This window comes from Homo sapiens, chromosome 1, assembly GCF_000001405.40.
Source record: "Homo sapiens chromosome 1, GRCh38.p14 Primary Assembly".
In the NCBI taxonomy this organism is placed as follows: domain Eukaryota; kingdom Metazoa; phylum Chordata; class Mammalia; order Primates; family Hominidae; genus Homo; species Homo sapiens.
This window is the reverse complement of record NC_000001.11, coordinates 36,890,908-36,911,243: the sequence shown is the minus strand read 5'-3', so window position 1 is coordinate 36,911,243 and position 20,336 is coordinate 36,890,908. Positions and strand designations below refer to the sequence as shown.

At 38.9% G+C, this 20,336-nt stretch overlaps 1 protein-coding gene across 1 annotated transcript in view; it reads left to right on the top strand.

The window, feature by feature from the left end:
• The window catches only part of GRIK3 (glutamate ionotropic receptor kainate type subunit 3), a 238,989-nt gene that overhangs the window by 123,272 nt on the left and 95,381 nt on the right, over positions 1-20,336 (top strand). Inside the window, exon 2 of the mRNA NM_000831.4 lies at positions 20,148-20,324. Coding sequence (NP_000822.2) covers positions 20,148-20,324 — 177 coding nt within the window. The remainder of the gene's footprint in view (positions 1-20,147; positions 20,325-20,336) is intronic.

Sequence of the window (20,336 nt, the reverse complement as noted above, 5' to 3'; positions counted from 1 at the left end):
ACTGGGGTCATGTTGGATGCACCCTCTCCCAGACCCCCACCTCCCTCCCTCAGTTTATTATTGACCAATCCTAGAAAAGCCAACCACGCAGCTCCCCTCCGGCCACCCCCTCCCTCCCTCTCTCCCCAGTGGGTCTGTACAGGTCCTCCTCACTGTGATAATCTATCCAAGGCCAGTGCCCCTGCTGGTTGCTGTGTTCCTTCCACAGCTCAGCTCCGAGCAGGTCAGGTGCTGCCTCCCCCATGAAGACGTCCGCAAGATGCCCTCTCCTCTGAGTCTCCCCAGTGTTTAGTCCGTGGTTATCACATGGAGCGTTCTCACCTTGACAGCGTTTTGAGTTATGCCCCCCCACTCACCTCCTGTTCTGAGCTAGGAGTTCCTGAAGAACGGGGCTGAAACTAATCTCTCACTGACTCACCTAGTGCCCAGCATAGTGCCTTGTTCCAGATTGTAGCCAATTACCTGCTTATGGAATGAATGAGTTAATGAGTATATGAATGAATGAAGAACTGAATGAACAAGAAGGGGGACACACATCCCTCGTCTCCCTTTCCTCTCCCAGGACATTAGAAAGCCCATCCCTGGACCGTTTCACTGGGTGCTGCTCCACCTCTGTAAACCACATGCTGTGTCCAGCAGGGGAAGCAACTGACTTGTCCCTGTCCCCGCCCCCCCACCACTGCTGCTGAGAGAGGGCACAGAGGTGCCTGAGAAGCAGGTTCAGAGACACCACCAGTTCCCCCAGGGGTCTGGCTAAGGCGCAGCAGAGAGCAGAGCCTGGATCTTCCAGCCCACAGCTGCACTGAGCTGCGGGGGCCCTGGCAGGAAGCAAAGAGAACCCTGATCAGAACAGACAGGGAGGCGGGCCCTGAGAAGAGGCTGTTAGCAACAATCTCGCTGATCCACGTCTCAATTAATCTCCACAACACCTTGGAAACTTCAGAAAAAGTACAAAGCAGTCTAGAAAAGAAAGAGTGGGCTCAGGCCCCTGAGGACAAATGGAGCCTGGGCCTGGTGCTGGGAGCGTGAATGTCTTCTGGGACTCTTCATAATGGCAGCAGGCCTTAAGTCCTGCCTGAGTCTCCCAGGCTCACTGCACTCTGGGCCAGGCCAGCTGGGCTGCTTGGCTAAATTTAAGAGCACAGAGTTATTGAAGAGAAAGGAAAAAACCTCAACGGGTTCCAGAGGACACCTAAACAGTCATGAGGTCAGAGGGCCAAGCTTAAGCAAGGAGCTTCCCCCTGGTTTTGGAGGTCACATTCAGCTTGACACAGGCCATCATAGCATCCTCACCTGGGAGGCAGAGGAATTCCACCATTGGGCATGTTTCTAGAGGTAAAAAAAGCAATTTAAAAAATATAGGCACTAATGCTTAGGGTATTCAGTATGTTTCCCGAAACATATAACAACATATCATAGTAGAAAGATGAAGAAAGAAGTTGGTTGCAGTTGACACAGCCAGTTCTACCCCTCCTCCCCAACTCTGGCTCTCAGTTAGGGGTTAGATTTGAGCAGTGGTTTTCTTGCCACACTCAGAGCCCAGGAAGCTACAGAGCCTTCTCAGAAGCTGTGACATCAAGTCTTTCAGAGCCCAGTGATGCAAATGGGTTTGGGCAGGGGCATGCCGATAAAAAAGAAAAAAAGGCCGGGCGCAGTGGCTCACACCTGTCATCCTAGCACTTTGGGAGGCCGAGGCAGGCAGATCACTTGAGGTCAAGAGTTCGAAATCAGCCTGGTCAACGTGGTGAAACCCCGTCTCTACCAAAAATACGAAAAAATTAGCCAGGCATGGTGGCGTGCACCTGTAGTCCCAGCTATTCAGGAGGCTGAGGCAGGAGAATTGCTTGAACCCAGGAGGTGGAGGTTGCAGTGAACCGAGATTGTGCCACTGCACTCCAGCCTGGGTGACACAGCAAGACTCCATCTCAGGAAGGAAAAAAAAAAAAAAAGCCCTGATTTGTAGTATCTGCTTATTTCTGTGGTGTAAATACTCTCACTATGGCCGATTTCAGGCTGCCAATGGTTTAATAACTGGTTTTCAGAATTCCTGAAAATTTAACAATTGGCTCCTGAAAGCTGGTACTAGCCGGCTGCAGCACGTCACTGGCTTTGGTTGCAAAGAGAATTTTGCCACTTTGTAGTTTTAACAACATCCTTGACTTCCCTGGACTTCCATTTTCTCCTGTGTAAATTGAGGCAATGTTACTTCCTCTCTAATGGGGTTGTAGAGGTTCTCATGAGTGTTAAATGTAGTGAGTGGAAGGCATGCAGCATCATCCCTGGAACACAGTCAGTTGTTATTACTGCTGTGGTTGTTGTTATTTGTTTTACCCGTTGGGCTTCCACACAAGGTTTTGTTTGAAGAAAATATTCCAGCTGCACCCTGTTCCACCCCTGCTCACGTCTTCTGGGACTCATCTTACACACCCCTCCCTACACACACACACACACACACACACACACACCCTATCCCATTTCTTAGCCGCCTCAGTGTCTCTGCTCCATTTTATTAAAGCAGAAAGCAGTGACAATTATTTTCATAATGAACTGGCTCTTCAAATTAATGCCAATTACACTATGCAATCATGATTAAGATTATGCGTTAATCAATGGTGCCAACCTACTTATTAGCCTCTTTAAATAACGATCATGAGGAATGTATGGGAAGGCAGAGAATGGAGAGGAGCCAGTGGAAAGGGGGGCAGCCTCCAGCGGGGCAGGGAACTCTCTCCAGAAGCTGAGACCCAAAGCAGCCCTTCTTGCATGGGTGGAGCTTGGATCAGAACCCAGGACAATCAGATGCCTGAGCTCCCAAAGCTACAGGCTCTCTAGAAGGGAGAGGGAGCAGGAGGACCCAGGAGGGAGAGGGTAGTGGAGAACCTTGGCCATTTAGCAGTTAATGAGGTCCAGCGTCCCCTTCCCCATCTCCAGCAACACTAAAGTAGTGCAGTTGACACTGCCCCCCAGTAATGTCACCCCTGTCTTAGGTCAGGTCCCCTGGAAGCAGAGCCTGAGGCAGGGATTCGGATGCATGGGGTTTATAGAGGGGAAGAGTGCTCTTCAGGAAAACCCTGTAGGGGAATGAATAAGGCAGGGTTGGGAAGAGGACGGAGTTGGGCAGAGATGTGCCTCTGCCAAGATCTAGCCTTTGCCTGATGCAAGGTGGGGAGTGTGGGGAGGGGCTCCAAAGAATATGTCATACTGCAGATTGTCCCCACCCTGAAGCAAGGGACCGCCCAGTCTTTTGAGCCCCATTATTAGTTGGTTATTGATGGCAGGCTGCTTCCAGGGGCCCAGGTGAGTGACCCCTCCTCCTGGGCAAGGGGGCCTCTCTCACTGGGAACAATTCCCTAGAGAAAGGGGTAGCCTGTGAGTGGAACCAAAATTCAAATCGAGGTCTGCCTGTGCCTAGAACCCACTCTCTGAACCTCTGTGGTGCCCCTCAATATTTGCTGCTTGGATGTCCCATGATATTCAGCCTTTGCAGCCACCTAGCCCTTACACACTCATTAGAACACCTCCCACCCTTGTACTGAGTTTGGGGGTGGAGGGGCAGCCTCTCACCCACCATGTCTCTGAGGATGCTCTAGGGCTTCCTGTTTCTCCTGATGACCTCATGCTCCAGTGTCTTCTGCTGAGTCTTCTGTCTCCTCTCATCTCGCCTCTTGTCCTTTCTCTGCCCTGACTCACTCTGTTTTGGACCATGCCCATCTTCTGTCGCCTTCCTCCAAACAGCAGGAGCTGGTGTCAGTATTCTGTAGCTGACTTTTCTAACGATGGGCCTCCTGGAAGGAAGGGAGGCTCAACTTAAAACCCAGCATCGGACATCACTGTATGAAAAATGCATGGCCCCCTCCTGCTGTGGTGAATTTCTTACTTGACTCGCCCACCTTTGGGCCTGGGTTCTGTCCTTTGGGGTCCACTTCATCTCTGTTCCCTTTCTCTTAGGCCTTCCTCCTTGTCTCACATCTTCTCCACTCAAAACTCCAGCATCCTGTCTTTGTTTCTTTTGCATCATGATTTTGTTCCGTCATAGTCTTAATTCTTTACCCAGGCCCTGAGGTGCTTTTCCTAAGGAAACACTCACTCACCTCTGAAATAAACGCTGCCCACCCCCAGAACAAGTAGAGACTACAGCCCAATAGCCAAATCCAGCCACTCACCACCTGTTTTTTGAATTAATTTTATGTTTTTATTGATACATAATAGATGTACAGAGTTTTGGGGTACATATGATAAAGTAATACATTCATATAATTTGTAAAGATCAAGTCAGCATACTTAGGATATTCATCATCTTACATAGTTATCTTTTCTTTGTGCTGAAAACCTTCAAATTATTCTCCTCTAGCTATTTTGAAATAAACAATAAGTTATTGTAAACTTACATTAATAGTCACCCCACTGATCTGTCAAACACTAGGTCTTATTTCTTCTACCAAGCTATATATTTGTACCCATGAAACATCTCTTCATTCTGTATTTTTGCAAATAAAGTTTTATTGAAACACAACTGTGCCTACTGTGACACATTGTCTGCGGCTGCCAGCGTGCTACAGTGGCAGAAGTGAGTCCTTGCAACAACAACCATCTGGTCCACAAAGCCAAAAATACTTATCATCTAAAACATTTACCCTCCGATCCTTTGCAGACAAAGTTTGTCAACCCTGCCCTAGAAAATGTGGAAGCTCACACTTCACTTTGTTTTTCTAAATTGCATGGTAGCTTTTATTTGCTGTTTTCTAAATAGTATAGTAGCACTCATTGTTTCACTCTTTCTTTGATAGCTACTGTGTATTAAGTCCTTGCCATGTGCCATGCAGTAGCTCCATTGTTTTATGTCTTCCTCACAATAATCAGCCCTCTGAGATGTGTACCCCATCTTGCAGGTGGAGAAACTGAGTCTCGGAGAAACTGAGTCTCAGAGAGTCTGAGTAACTTCCTCCAGTGGATAGAGCTAGGTTTGGGACTGAAGCATGGCTGTCACTGAAACCTGAATTGGGAACCTCCCTGGTATTGCACCTGAGTGGAGCACCACACATGTGCTAGTTGTCTGTTCTTCTCGGCTGCCCTGCGGGGTTCAGCATTCCTTGAAAGCAGGAGCCTGGTGCTGACTTCTTTTGGTATCCCAGGGCCCAGTGACAGGGTGGCACAGGGCAGAGATTAGTGGGTATTAATGGAGCTGTTTTATATAGGATAAGACTGAGGCTCCATCCCTTGGACTTAGGTCTTAATGGCTGAGACATGTCACCATCCTTGTTGAGATGATGGCCCCTCTCTTTCCCCTCCTCCCCACCTGCCAAGGTCTGAGAGGCCAGGAAGAGGATGTGAAGCCCTATGGAGATGGCTTTGTCCCCTGACTTTTTATCCCCATTTGGGATGGGTAGAGGTATCTTTCTTCAGATCTGTAATAACCAGACCTCTTTCCAGGCTTTTTTTGTTTTTTGTGTGTTTGTTTTCACATTTTGAAGTAATAATACATACTTGTTGTAAATAATTTTGGAAAAATCAAGAAAACACAAAGAACAAGATAAAAATTATCCATAAACTTCTATCCAGAGATATTCACTGGTAACATTTTGGTACAAATCCTTCCAGTCTTTCTTCTGTAAATATGCTTTTTGTTTGATAAATAATTATCATACTGTAATATTATTTTGTAGCATTGGGGAGCAGGGAGAGGATGAAAATTTTCTATGCCATTAAGTATTCTTTAAGAACATTTCGCTAAAGCTTTGTTTTTTTTTTCTTATTACCAAAGCTCTATCTCAATGCAGAGGGCTTGGAAAACAAAAAAAAAAGCACCAAGCAAGAGCAATCCATTATCTTTTTACTTTCTAGAAAGAACTTCTGTTAACATTTTAGTGTGTGTCCTTCTGGTGTGTCCTTTTTGATTTTAATTGGAATTGCATTAAATTTATAAATTAATCTGAGGAGAAATGACATCTTTACAATATTGAGCCATCCCTTCCAAGGAGTAAGTTATGTCTCTCCATTTATTCAAGACTTCTTTTATGTCCTCTAGTAAAGTTTTGTAGTTTTCTTGATATAGGAATTGCACATTTATGGTAAGGTATTTTCTTTTTTTGTTGTTGTTTTTGTGAGTAGGGTCTCTTTTTTTCCCCTATAATTCCTTGCTGTTTATTGCTGCTATGTGGGGAGGCTATATGTTTTTCTATATTTGTATGCTGGCCTCTTGATGAGCTCTCTGTTTACTTTCTGCTAGGTTTTCACCTGATTCCCTTGTGTTTTTAAGAGAACCATAATAAGCATCTGCAAGTAGTATTAATTGTGTCTCTTTTCTGATTGCAACAACATGATTTGTTATTTTTGTCTTATTCATATCATGATTTTAAGGAATATTTTATTATGGAGAATGTCTGCCATACACACACAGAGAGAGTAGCGTAATGAATCCTCATGTGCCCTTCATCTGGCCCCAGCAAAACCCATGGCCTCTTCTGCCCCATCTGTACCCACTTTGCATCATGTGAGTAAAATTCTTCCCACATTTTGAATCCAATTTCATTCACTGTACCGTATCATCCTATGCTTTGATTGATAATGCCTACAAGTTGTTCTGCCATATGGGTGGGTTTTAATATATTGAGTAATCTCTTGCTTTTGGACATTAAGCTGTTTCTATTTTTTTCAATATTATGTAAAAAACCTTATCCATAAATGTGTTTATATATCTCCAACTTTCTCTAAATTTATATTCCTAGAAATGGAATTACTGGGTCATATGGTATTTTGATCATTTATTTCCCTTTAAACACATACACACAATCACGATGGCTTTTCTGATGAGAAATGTAACACATGTTCACTGCAGAACTTTTTAAAAATACAGAAAAACACAAAGAAGGAAATTAAATTTACCCATGAGCCTACCACTCAGAGAAAACCACCCTTAACTTTTGGTACGAATTCTTCTTGTCTTGTTTTATGCACGTGCTCGGCATGTCGATGCACACCTGTGTGGATGCACACGCGTACACACTTAAGTGTTACAAACTGTAAGCATGCTGGAGTACTCTGGAAGGGACACAGTTGTGTGTTCACGTGTTAAAATATTACCCTTTTTTCTTTTTAATAGATTTTATTTTTTGGAGCAGTTTTAAGTTCACAGCAAAAACTGAGTGGAAGGCACGGAGATTTCCCATATACCCCCTGCCCACACACATGCATAGCCTCCTCCATTATCAACATCTGCCACCAGAGAGGTACATTTGTTACAATGAATGGACTTATACTGATACATCATCATCATCCAAAGTCCATAGTTTACATTAAGGTTCATTCTTGGTGGTGTACATTCTGTGGGCTTTGACTAATGTATAATGACATGTATTCACTATAATAGTATCATACAGAATCATTTGACTGCCCTAAAAATCCTCTGTGTTTTTACCAATGCATCTCTCCCTCCTCCACCCGCTGGAAGCCACTGCTTTTTTTTACTATCTCCATAGTTATGCCTTTTCCAGAATGTCAGTAGTTGAAATCATATAGTCTGTAGCCTTTTCACATTGGCTTCATTCGCTTAGTGATAGGCACTTAAGTTTTATCCTTATCTTTTCATGGCTTGATAGCTCATTTCTTTTACGTGCTGAATAATATTCCATTGTCTGGATGTAGCCAGTTTGTGTATCCACTCATCTACTGAAGGATATCTTGATTTCTCCCATGTTTGGGCAACCATGAATAAAGCTGCTATACACATCCATGTGCAGGCTTTTGTGTGGACATATTTTCAACTCCTTTGTGTAAATACGAAGGAGTGCCATTGCACTTGCGTGTAAGAGTATGTTTAATTTCATAAGCAATTGAAAAACTTTTCTTTCAAAGTGGCTGTACTATTTTGCATTCTCACCAGCAGTGAATGAGGGCTCCTGTTGCCCCGCATCCTTGCCAGACTTTGGTGTTGCTAGTGTTCTGAATTTTGGCCATTCTAACAGATGTGTAGTGGTATCTTGTTGTTGTTTTAATTTACATTTCCTCAATGACATATAATATGGAGTATCTTCATATGCTTATTTTCCATCTGTATATATTCTGTTAAGGTCTTTGGCCCACTTTTTAATAAGGTTGTTTGTTTTCTTATTGTTGAATTTTAAAAGTGGTTTGCATATGTTGGATAATAGTCCATCATCAGGCCGGGCGTGGTGGCTCACGGTAATCCCAGCACTTTGGGAGGCCGAGGCAGACAGATCACTCGAGGTCAGGAGTTCAAGACCAGCCTGGCCAAGATGGGGAAACCCTGTCTCTACTAAAAATACAAAAATTAGCCGGATGTGGTGGTGGACGCCTCTTATCCCAGCTACTCAGGAGGCTGAGACAGGAGAATCACTCGAACCCAGGAGGCAGGGGTTGCAGTGAGCCAAGGTTGTACCACTGCACACCAGCCTGGGCAACAGAGCAAGACCCTGTTTCAAAAAAAAAAGTAGTCCATCATAAGATATGTCCCAGTCAGTGGCTTCATTTTTCATTCTCTTTACTGTGTCTTTTGCAGAGCAGAAAATTTTAATTTTAATGTAGTCCAGCTTATCAATTATTTCTTTCATGGGTCGTGCCTTTGGTATTATATCTAAAAAGCCATTGCCAAACCCAAGTTTGGCAATTTATAGTTTTGCATTGTACATTGAGGTCTCTGATACACTTTGAGTTCATTTTTGTGAAGGGTGTAAGGTCTGTGTCTAGATTCTTTTTTGCATGTGGATGTCCAGTTGTTCTAGCCCTTTTGTTGAAAAGTCTTTCTTTTCTCCACCGTATTGCCTTTGCTCCCTTGTCAAAGATCGGTCGACTTTATTTATGTGGGTCTGCATCTGAATTCTCCATTCTGTTCCAATGATCTATTTGTCTGTCTATATGCCAACATCATGCTGTCTTGATTACTATAGCTTTATAGCAAGTCTTGAAGTTGAGCCGTGTTGATCTCCCAATGTTGTTCTTCTCCTTCAATATTGTGTTGATTATTCTGGTCTTTTGCCTCTCTATGTACACTTTAGAATCAATTTGTCAATAGCCACAAAATAACTTGCTGAGATTTTGATTGGGATTGCACTGTATCTATAAATCAATTTGGGAAAAACTCACATCTTGAAAATAATTGACTTTTCTTATCCATGAACATTGAAGGTCTCTCCATTTATTTAGTTATTCTTTGATTTCTTTCATTAGAGTTGTGAGTTTTACCTCAAATATATCTTGTACATATTTTGTTAGATTTATAACCCAAGTGTTTCTTTTCTTTGCATGTTAATGTAAGTGATCTTGTTTCTATTTCAAATTCCATTTGTTCATTGCTGGTATATAGAAAAGCAATTGACTTTTGCATATTAACCGTATATTCTGCCACCTTTCTATAATTGCTTATTAATGCCAAGAGGTAGTTTTCTCTTTTGTTCCTGATTCACGTGGATTTTCTACATAGGGGATCATGTCACCTGTAAACAAAGACAGTTTTATTTCTTCCTCCCCAATCTGAATTTCTTTCGTTTCCTTTTCTTGCCTTATTGCATTTGCTAGGACTTCCAGTGTGATCTTGAAAAGCAGTGGGAGAGGGGACATCCTTCCCTTGTACCTGATTTTAGTGGGAAAGCTTCAAGTTTCTCACTATTATGTATGATGTCAACTGTGGGTTTTTGTAGATGTGCTTGAGAAGAATGTGTATTCTGCTATTAATATTCTTATGAAGTTGAGGACATTCCCCTTTATTCTTACTTTACTGAGAGTTTTTATCATTAATGGGGTGTTGGATTTTGTCAAATGCATTTTCTGCATCTGTTGATATGATCATGTGATTTTTCTTCTTTGGCCTGTTGATACTGATATAATGGATTACATTAATTGATTTTTAAATCTTGAAACAGCCTTGCATACCTGGGGTAAATCCCACTTGGTTGTGTTATGTAGTTCTTTTTATACATGATTGGATTCAATTTGCTAACTTTTTGTTGAGGATTTCTGTATCTGTATTAATGAGAGATATTGATCTGTAGTTTTATTTCTTGTGATGTCTTTGTCTGATTTTGGTATTAGAGTAGTGCTGGCCTTGTAAAATGAGTTAAGAAATAGTCCTCTGCTTCTGTTTTCCAATAGAGTGTAGAGAATTTGTATTATTTCTTTCTTAAATGTTTAGTAGAATTTACCAGTGAACCCATCTGGGCCTGGTGATTTCTGCTTTGTAAGGTTTATTATTAATTCAATTTCTTTAATAGAGAGAGTCCTGTTCAAATGTTCTCTTTCTTCTTGCATGAATTTTGACAAATTGTGTTTCATTCATTTCATCTAGGTTAGCAAATTAGTGGACATAGAGTTATTAATATTCCTCGATAATCTTTTTAATGTCCACGAGATCTGTAGAGATGTCCCCTCTTTCACTTCTGATACTAACAATTTGTATCCTCTCTTTTTTATTCTTAATTGGCCAAATTAGAGGCCTATCAATTTTATCTGTCTTTTCACATGACCAGCTTTTGGTTTCATTGATATTTTTATATTGATTTCTTGTTTTCAGTTTCATTGATTTCAGATCTAATTTTTATTATTTCTTTTCCTCTGCTTACTTTGGATTTAATTTGCTCTTCTTTTTCTAGTTTCCTGAGGTAGAAACTTGGATTATTAATTTTAGATCTTTCTTCTTTTCTATTTTATGCATTCAGTGCTATAAATTTCTCTCTATGCACTGCTTTCACTACATCCCACAAATTTTGATAAGTTATGCTTTCATTTTTATTTAGTTCAAAATATTTTTAAATTTCTTTTGTGACCCATGTGTTATTTGGAAGTACATTGTTTAAGCTGGGCACAGTGGTATGTGGCTGTAGTCCCAGCTACTCTGGAAGCTGAGGTGGGAGGATCACTTGAGCAGAGGAGTTTGAGTCCACATAGCAAAACAAGGAGGAGGAGGAGAAGGAGGAAGAGGAGGAGGAGGAGCAGGAGGGGGAGGAGGAGCATTGCCTAATCTTCAAGTATTTGGGGATTTCCCTGATCTCATTCTGTTATTGATTTCTAGTTTAATTCCACGGTGGTCTAAGAGTAGACATTATATGATTTCTAGTCTTTTAAATTTGTTAAGATGTGCTTTATGGACAGAATGTGGTCTATATTGCTGAATGTTCCATGTGAGCTTGAGAAGAATGTGTATTCTGTTGCTGTTGACTGAAGTAGTCTATAGATGTACATTACGTCTGATTCACTGAGGCTGTTGTTGAGTTTAACTATAACCTTACTGATTTTCTGTCAACTGGATCAGTCCATTTCTGATAAAAGGGTGTTGAAGTCTCCTAGTAGAATAGTAAATTCATCCATTTTTCCTTGCCTCATGTATTCTGATGCTCTCTTTTGAGCACATACACATTAAAGATTGTTACGTCTTTTTGGATAATTGACCCCTTCATCATTATGTAATGCTTCTCTTTGTCTCTGATAAAGTTCCTTGACCCAAAGTCTTCTCCATCTGAATACAGCTACTTTCACTTTCTTTTGATTGATATTAGGATGGCATGTCTTCATTCATTTACTTTTTTATTGTGGTAAAATACAAATAACATAAAATTTGCCATCTTAACCATTTTTAAGTGTACTGTTCAGTGGTACTAAATACATTCATAATGTTGTGCAACCATCAGCACCACTCATCTCCATAACTCTTTTCATCTTGTAAAACTGAAACTCTATAACTCTATATCCATAAAGAATAACTTCACTTTCCCCCCTTCCTCTAGGCCCTGGAAACCTCCTTTCTATTTTTTGATTCTCTGATTTTGGCTACTCTAAGTACCTCATATAAGTGGAATCATACAGTATTTGTCTTTTTGTGACTGGCTTATTTCACTTAGCCTACTGTCCTCAATGTTTATTCACGATGTAACATATGTCCGAATTTCCTTCTTTTCTGGATATTGTTCTGGATATTAATTGTTCTGGAATATGTTCTGGATATTAATTCCTTATCAGGTGTATGATTTGCAAATATCTTCTCGCATTCTATAGGTTGCATTTTACTCTGTTAATAGTGTCTTTTGATATACAGTTTTTTGGTAATTTTTTATTAAGCTCAATTTGTCTTTCTTTTCTTGTCTGTGCCTTTGGTGTCATATCCAAGAGATTGTTGCCAAATTCAATCTCATGAAGCCTTTGTTCTATGTTTTCTTCTAAGAGTTGTATAGTTTTAGGTCTTACATTTAAGTCTTTGATCCATTTTGAGTTAGTTTTTGTATATGGTGTTAAGTAAGGATCCAAATTCATTCTTTTACATGTGGACATTCAGTTATTCCAGCATTATTTGTTGAAAAGACTATCCTTTCCCCATTCAGTAGTCTTAGCACCTTTGTCAAAAATCATTTAACCATACATGTGAGGTTTTATTTCTGGACTCTATATATAGTTTGTCTTTATGCCAGTATCACACTGTTTTGATTACTCTAGCTTTGTAGTAAGTTTTGAAATCAGGAAATGTCTTTCAACTTTGTTCTTCTTTTTCAAGACTGTTTTTGGCTATTTGGATTCCTTTGCAATTCCATATGAATTTTAGGATTGGTTTTTCTATTTCTGCAAAAAAATGTCATTGGGATTTTCATTGACATTGAAATGTCATAAGGATTTCATTGAATCTACAGATCACTTTGGGCAGTATTGACACCTTAACAATATTAAGTCTTCCAGTCCATGAACATGGGATGTATTTACATTTATTGATGTCTTATTTAATTACCTTCAACAATGTTTTGAAGAGCTTTTTACATTTTAAATTTTATTTTTTGTGGGTACATAATAGATGTATATATTTATGAGGTTCATGAGATGTTTACCTGTATTATTTTCCTTCTCTCTAAAGAACATCTTTTAATATTTCTTGTAAGGCATACAGGCATGCAATATGTAATAATCACATCATGGGAAATGAGGTAGCCATCCCCTCAAGTATTTATCCTTGTGTTACAAACAATCCAATTACACTATTTTAGTTTTTAAATGTACAATTAAATTATTATTGATTATAGTCACCCTGTTGTGCTATCAAATACTAGGTCTTATTAATTCTTTCTAGTTATCTATTTTGTACCTATTAAGCACCCCCACCTCCCCCCACCCAGCCTACCACTACCCTTCCCAGCCTCTGGTTACCATCCTTCTACTCTCTATCTCCATGATTTCAATTGTTTTGGTTTGAGAGTGTGTGATGTTTATCTTTCTGTGCCTGGCTTATTTCACTTAGTATAATGACCTCATTTCCATCTATGTTGTTGAAAATGAGATGATCTCATTCTTTTTATGGCTGAATAGTACTCCATTGTGTATAAGCACCACATTTTCTTTATCCATTCATCTGTTGATGGACATGTAGGTTGCTCCCAAATTTTGGTTATTGTGAACAGTGCTGCAACAAACATAGGTGTGCAGATATCTATTCAATATACTGATTTCCTTTCTTTGGAGCATATATCTAGCAGTGAGATTGCTGGATCATATGGTAGCTCTATTTTTAGTTTTTTGAGGAACCTCCAAACTGTTCTCCAAGGTGGTTGTCCTAATTCACATTCCCACCAACATGGTATGAGGGTTCCCTTTTCTCCACATCCTCAGTAGCATTTATTATTGCCTGTCTTTTGGATATAAGCCATTTTAACTGAGGTCAGATGATGCCTCACTAGTTTGGATTTGCATTTTTCTGATGATCAATGATGTGAGCATCTTTTCATATGCCTGCTTGCCATTTGTATGTCTTCTTTTGAAAAATGCCTATTTAAATAATTTCCCCATTTTATTTTGTAGTTTTCATTGAGCAGGTACAAGTCTTTCATCTCCTTGGTTAAGTCCTAGGTAGTTTGTCCTTTGTGAGATTATTAGAAATGGAATTATTTTGTGATATCCTTTTCAGATTGTTAATTGTTAGGTATAGAAATGCAACTGATTTTGTGTATTGACTTTGTATTCTGTTACTTTGCCAAATTTTATTAGCTCTAACTGATTTTTTGTGAAATATTTGGGGTTTTCTACATATAAGACCATATTATCTGCAGACAGACACTTTTACTTCTTCCTTTCTGACTTGGATGCCTTCTTTTTCATTTTCTTGCCTAACTGCTCTGGATAGAACTTCCAGTAGAATGTTTAATAGAAGTGGTGAAAGTGAACATCCTAGCCTTGTCACTGATCTTAGAGGAAAAGCTTTCAGTCTCTTACCATTGAGTATGACATTTGCTGTGGGCTATTCATAAATGGCTTTTATTATGTTGAGATAGTTCCCTTCTGTTCCTAGTTGTTGAGTGTCTTTTATCATGAATAGTTGTTGAATTTTGTCAAATGCTGCTTCTGCATTGATTCAGATGATCGCATTTTTTTCCTTTATTCTGTTACTATGATGTATTATATTGATCAGTTGTTTTGAACCATCCTTGCATTCCAGGAATAAATTTTTCATTTGTTCATTTACTTTTATTTTATGTGCACCTGTATAGTTAAAATAGGTTTATTGTAGACAACATATAGTTGGATCTTGTTTTTTGATCCACTTTGACAATCTCTTTTAGTTGATGCATTTAGACCTTTGATGTTTAAAATGAGAATTGATATAACTGGATTAATATCTACCTTATTTGTCACTGTTTTCTATTTGTTGCCCTTGTTCTTTGTTTCTATTTTTGCCTTCCAGCCCTTTTCTGCCTTTCATGATTTTAATTGAGCATATTTTATCATTTCATTTCCTCTCCTCACTTATCATGTCAATTGTACTATTTTTTTAGTAGTTGCCCTAGAGTTTGCAATATACATATGCAACTAATCCAAGTTCATTCTCAAATAATGTTATACTGCTTCACAAGTAGTGTGAGTATTTTACAGTAACAAAATAATCCTAATTCCTCCCTCCCATCCTTATATCATTGCTGTCATTCATTTTGCTCATATATAAGCATACATAAGTGGATATTTATGAATACATTGTTGCTATTATTATTTTGAACAAACTATTGTCTGTTAAATCAATTAAGAGTAAGAAAAATACATTTTTTAAATTTTACCTTCGCTTATTCTTTCTTCAGTGTTCTTCTTGTATGTAGATTGAAGTTTTTGACCTATATTATTTTCCTTCTCTCTAAAGAACATCTTTTAATATTTCTTGTAAGGCAGATCTACTGGCAACAAATTTCATTGATTTTTGTTTGTCAGAGAAAGTCTTTATTTCTCTCCACTTTTGAAGGATAATTTCTCAGGATACAGAATTATAGGTTGGTTTTTATTTTCTCTCAATACTTTATATATTTCACTTCACCCTCTTCTTGCTTGCATGGTTTCTGAAGAGAAGTCAGATGTAATTCTTATCTTTTTTCCTCCATAGATAAGATGCATTTTTCTTCGGGCTTGTTGGGATTTTTTTCTTGATCTTTGATTTTCTATTGTTTGAAAATGATATGCCTCAGTGTCATTTTGGGGACATATTTCCTGCTTTGTGCTTGGTGTGCTCTAAGGATCCTAGATCAGTGGTTTGGTGTCTGACATTAATTTGAGGAAAGTCATTACTGTTTCAAATATTTCTCCTGATCATTTCTCTCTTCCTTCTCCTTCTTGCATTTCCATTAGGCATTTTTACAGCCACAGTTTTTGGATATTCTGTTTTCTTCTTCCAGTCTTTCTGCTCTTTGCTTTTCAGTTTTGGAAGTTTCTATTGAGATATCCTCAAGCTCAGAGACCCACTTCTCAGCTGTGTTCAGTCTACTTACAAGCCCATCAAAGGCACTCTTCATTTCTGTTACAGTATTTCGTTTTGTTTTGCTTTTTATCTCTAACATTTCTTTTTTTTTTCTTAGAATTCCCATCTCTTTGCCTATCTGTTCTTGCATGCTGTCCTCTTTATCCATTAGAGCCCTTAGCATATTAATCATAGTTGTTTTGAATTTCTGGTCTGATAATTCCAAAATCCATGCCATATCTGAATCTGGTTCTGATGCTTGCTCTGTCTCTTCAAACTATGGTTTTTATGCCTTTTAGTATGCCCTGTAATTTTTTCTTGATAGCTGGACATGATGCACTGGGTAAAAGTAACTGCTGAAAATAAGGCCTTTAGTGATTTAGTGGTAAGGGGTGAGGAGAGGGGGAAGCATTCTATAGTGCTATGATTACATCTCAGTCTTTTGGTGAGCCTGTGCCCCTGGGCGGTAAACTTCACAGGTGCTTCTCCCCCACCTCCCCCGCAACACACACGTGTAGAAGGGATAGGATGGCTAGGGTGGGCTGGAGTTGAGTATTTCCCTTCCACCAGGTCAGTTAGTCTCTCATGAAACCCCAGCAGGTTAGGCTCTGGCTAACTAGTTTCCCCTGAGGACAAACCTTGTTAAAAACAGAATGCTCTGGCATATTTTGAAATGATTCCTTTTCCCCTTCCACTGCCAGAAGCACATGGGGATTTTTCTCCAATATTCACTTAAGAACCTGGTAGAATTCCAGGAGTAAAACTCACAAAAGCGTGGGGGCCCAGTGAAGGCCTCCCCTGAGGTTTTTGTCTCTCAGACTTATCCACACTGAGCCTCCAGCAACTAGTCAATTACACTTTCGGTTTTCCTACCTGCACACCGATTCCCATGGAGGTTTCTGCTCCATTAATTTGTAATTCTCTCTATTTACCTATCTCTCCAATTCTGGGGGCAGTGGTTTGCCCTGTGACCTCACTTCTCTTACAGATCTAAGAAGAGTTGTTGATTTTTCAGTTTGTTCAGCCTTAACTGGTTGTTAGGACAGAATGGCAACTTTCAAGCTTGTCATATGCCAGACCAGAGACTGGAAACCACTACTTTTTAGAATTTTCAAAACAATTAAAACAATCCAAATACCCATCAGCTGGTGGATAGAAAAATAAAATGTGGTACGTCTATACAAAGTAATATTATTTAGCAATAAAGAGGAATAAAGTACTGATACATGACACTAATATGGATGAACCGCAAAAGCACACGAAATACAAAAAGCCAGATGAAAAGACCACCTATTGCATGATTCCATTTATATGAAATGTTCAGAAAAGACAAAAAGTAAATTAGTGGCTGCCTGGGAGTGGGAATGAAAACTATAATTGACTGTAAATGGGCACGGGGATTCTTACTGGGTGATGGGAAGGTTCTAAAACAGGATTGTGCTTATGGTCATAGAACTCAGTAAATTTACTAAAAATCATTGTACACTTTAAAACAGGTGAATCTTGTAGAATGTAATAATACCTCAACAAAATCAATTATCAAAAATAATAAAGGTTTAATTGGAAAAAATATAGAAAGGCATTAAGAATGAAACAAGAAATGTCTTCTATTCTTATGTTAAAGACATAAGTTCCTCTTCTTCTTCCTCTTCTAAAGGGAATTGTACTGCACCTCTGCCAGAAACCCTCACTGTTCACTTAAAAATATATCATGGGTATTTCCTGTGTCATTAAATTTTTGTGATTATATGTAAATACATAGACAATAGTTTACTATTTCTCTGGTTGAACGTCCCTAGATCTCCTTCCCCATACATGATCCATATGCCTACTGTTGTTGTTAGAGTCCATTTCTAGATATCAAATTCCCGAGTCACAGGCGTGGACATTTTTAGGGCTTTTGGTAAATTTCTAATGTCCATCTCAACAGGCTGGGTATACATTTCCCCCTCCACCCACAGTTAAGCAGGTATCTCTTTCTAAACAACTATTCCCGCACCAAAGCTGGAGCCATGGTTTATTTTGTATCTTTACCAACTGGATAGGCAAAAAATGGTATCTCATTGTTGGTTTAAATTGAGTTTATTTTAATTATTAGGGAAGTTGCACACTTCTTCATACATTAATAGCCCCTTTGTATTATTTTCTTTTCTTTTGTTAAAGGTTCATACTCGTCCTTTGCACATTTTTCTATGGGAGTATTCGTCCTTTTTGTAGAATTTAAGAGCTTTTTATAAAATAAGAGCTTCCATCTTTATGCTCCCACATATGTTACAAATATTTATTTCAAGTTTGTGTTTGTAATTTAATTTTGTTTATGGTTTTTAATGGGTAGAAGTTTTATGTTATTTTTGTGGAGCTATCAAACTTTCTTTTATGGTTTCTGATGTTTTTGAAAGGCTTAGAAAGACCTCCTCTACCCAATATTGTAAAATATTCACCTATATTTTCTTTTTTGGTACTTTTATAGTATTTTTTCTGCTCCTCCCCTTACCCATTTGCCATTAATCTTTAATTTATCTGGAATTTATTTTAGATTAAGATTGAATTCTAACTTAAATTTCTTCCAAATAATTGAATAATTGTCACAGCACAGTTAATGAATAATTCATTTACTTACTGATTGGAACTAGCCATCTTTCTCATGTTTTAAATACTTATCTCTACTTGAGTCTCTTTATGGGAGCTTTTATCCTGTTCCTTTGATCTATCTGTGTTTTCATATGCTATTAGAACATGAATTTAATTATTTGGCTTAATGATATATTTTAAAATCTGGCAGTACGAATTACCTCTCATTCTTTTTAAAACATGTTTTGGTCATTAGTTCATGTTTAGTCTTCCAGATACATTTTAGAGTCATTTTATCAGGAAAAGAAAAATCCTTTCATGATTCTGATTGGAATTAAACTGAAAAATTAATTTGGAAAAACTGACACCTCTACACGTGAACTTTACCATTCAGAAACACACCATGTCTCTTCATTTAAGGCTATGTTTATATCTCTCATTAAAGGTGTTTTTTTTTTTTGTGCTGGTCATTTTTAATTTTTTTCTTTTCTTTTTATTTTTGTAAAGACAAAGTGTCACTATGTTGCTCAAGTTGGTCTTGAACTCTTGGCTTCAATCGTCATCTTCCTGCCTCGGCCTCTGGAAGTGTTGGGATTACAGGCATAAGCTACTGCTCTCAGCCTGTTTTTGTCATGTTTTAAAACTGGAATTGTAGTCCGGCACAGTGGCTCACACCTGTAATCCCAGCACTTTGGGAGGCAGGCCAAGGCAGGTGGCTCACCTGAGGTCAAGAGTTCCAGACCAGCCTGGCCAACATGGTGAAATCCCATCTCTACTAAAAATACAAAAATTATCCGGGCGTAGCAGCATGTGCCTGTAGTCCCAGCAACTTGAGAGACTGAGGTTGGAGAACCGCTTGAACCCGGGAAGCGGAGGCTGCCGTGAGCAGAGATTGTGCCACTGCACTCCAGCCTGAGCGACAAGAGTGAAACTCCATCTCAAATGAATAAATAAATAAATAAATAAAACTGGAACTGCACACTTCTCATTTGGTTTATTATTAGTTATTTAATGTTTTTGCTGATATTGTAAAAGGAATTCATTTGCTATTAAGTTTTTTTACTGATTGTCACTGATATGAAGAAACACTATTAATTTGTGCTAACTGGTCATTTAACTTAACTCTACTAGCTCCTACTTGTTTTCATGTTTAGGGATTATTTTAAGGGTTTTTATATCATTTGCAAATAAGAATTTCTTTCTTTACAAATGTTGTGGCTCTAAATTATTTTTCTTTCTTATTTCATTGGTTAATGGCGTGATGCAAATCCTCCCCCATGCCTCTTATTTTTCTTTAATGAGAATGCCTCTAGTTTTTCACCATTAGTATGATATTAAAGGCTGATTTAAGCTAAAAAAGTTTCAAGGAAGTATTTCTTCTGGTGCTATTTTATTATGCATTCTTAACAGCAATAGATATTGGATTTTATTAAATGCCATCTTGCATTTTGTGAGTTGATTATATTTTTTTTCTTATTTGAACTATTGATGTGATGGAATGATATTCATAGATTTCTTTATATTGAACCAGTCTTAGATTCCTAGAATAAAACTCTGCGTGGTCATGGTATGTTATCCTGGTAGATTCTGCTTGCTATAATTCTATTGAGAATTTTCACAGCAATATTAATAAGTTGGTAATCTTATTTTGGCCCTGTCGGGCTCTGTTATCAGGAATTTGCTGGTTGAGTGAAATGAATGAGGAGGATTTTCCTATTTCTTGTGCTCCTGCACACTTTCTAGGTATGGCAGTTACCTAGGATATTATTGAACATTTCAGGGAGCAGGCAACTTGTCTATAAAATCTTTTGAGCCAAGCATCCTTGCTAGAGCCCCATCCCTCCTCCCAACCACACACAATTTTACTCATCTTTCACAGGAGGAATCTTCGAGTATGCGGACGGCCCCAACGCCCAGGTCATGAATGCCGAGGAGCATGCCTTTCGATTTTCTGCCAACATCATCAACAGGAACAGGACTCTGCTGCCCAACACAACCTTGACCTATGACATACAGAGGATTCACTTCCATGACAGCTTCGAGGCGACCAAAAAGGGTGAGTGTGCAG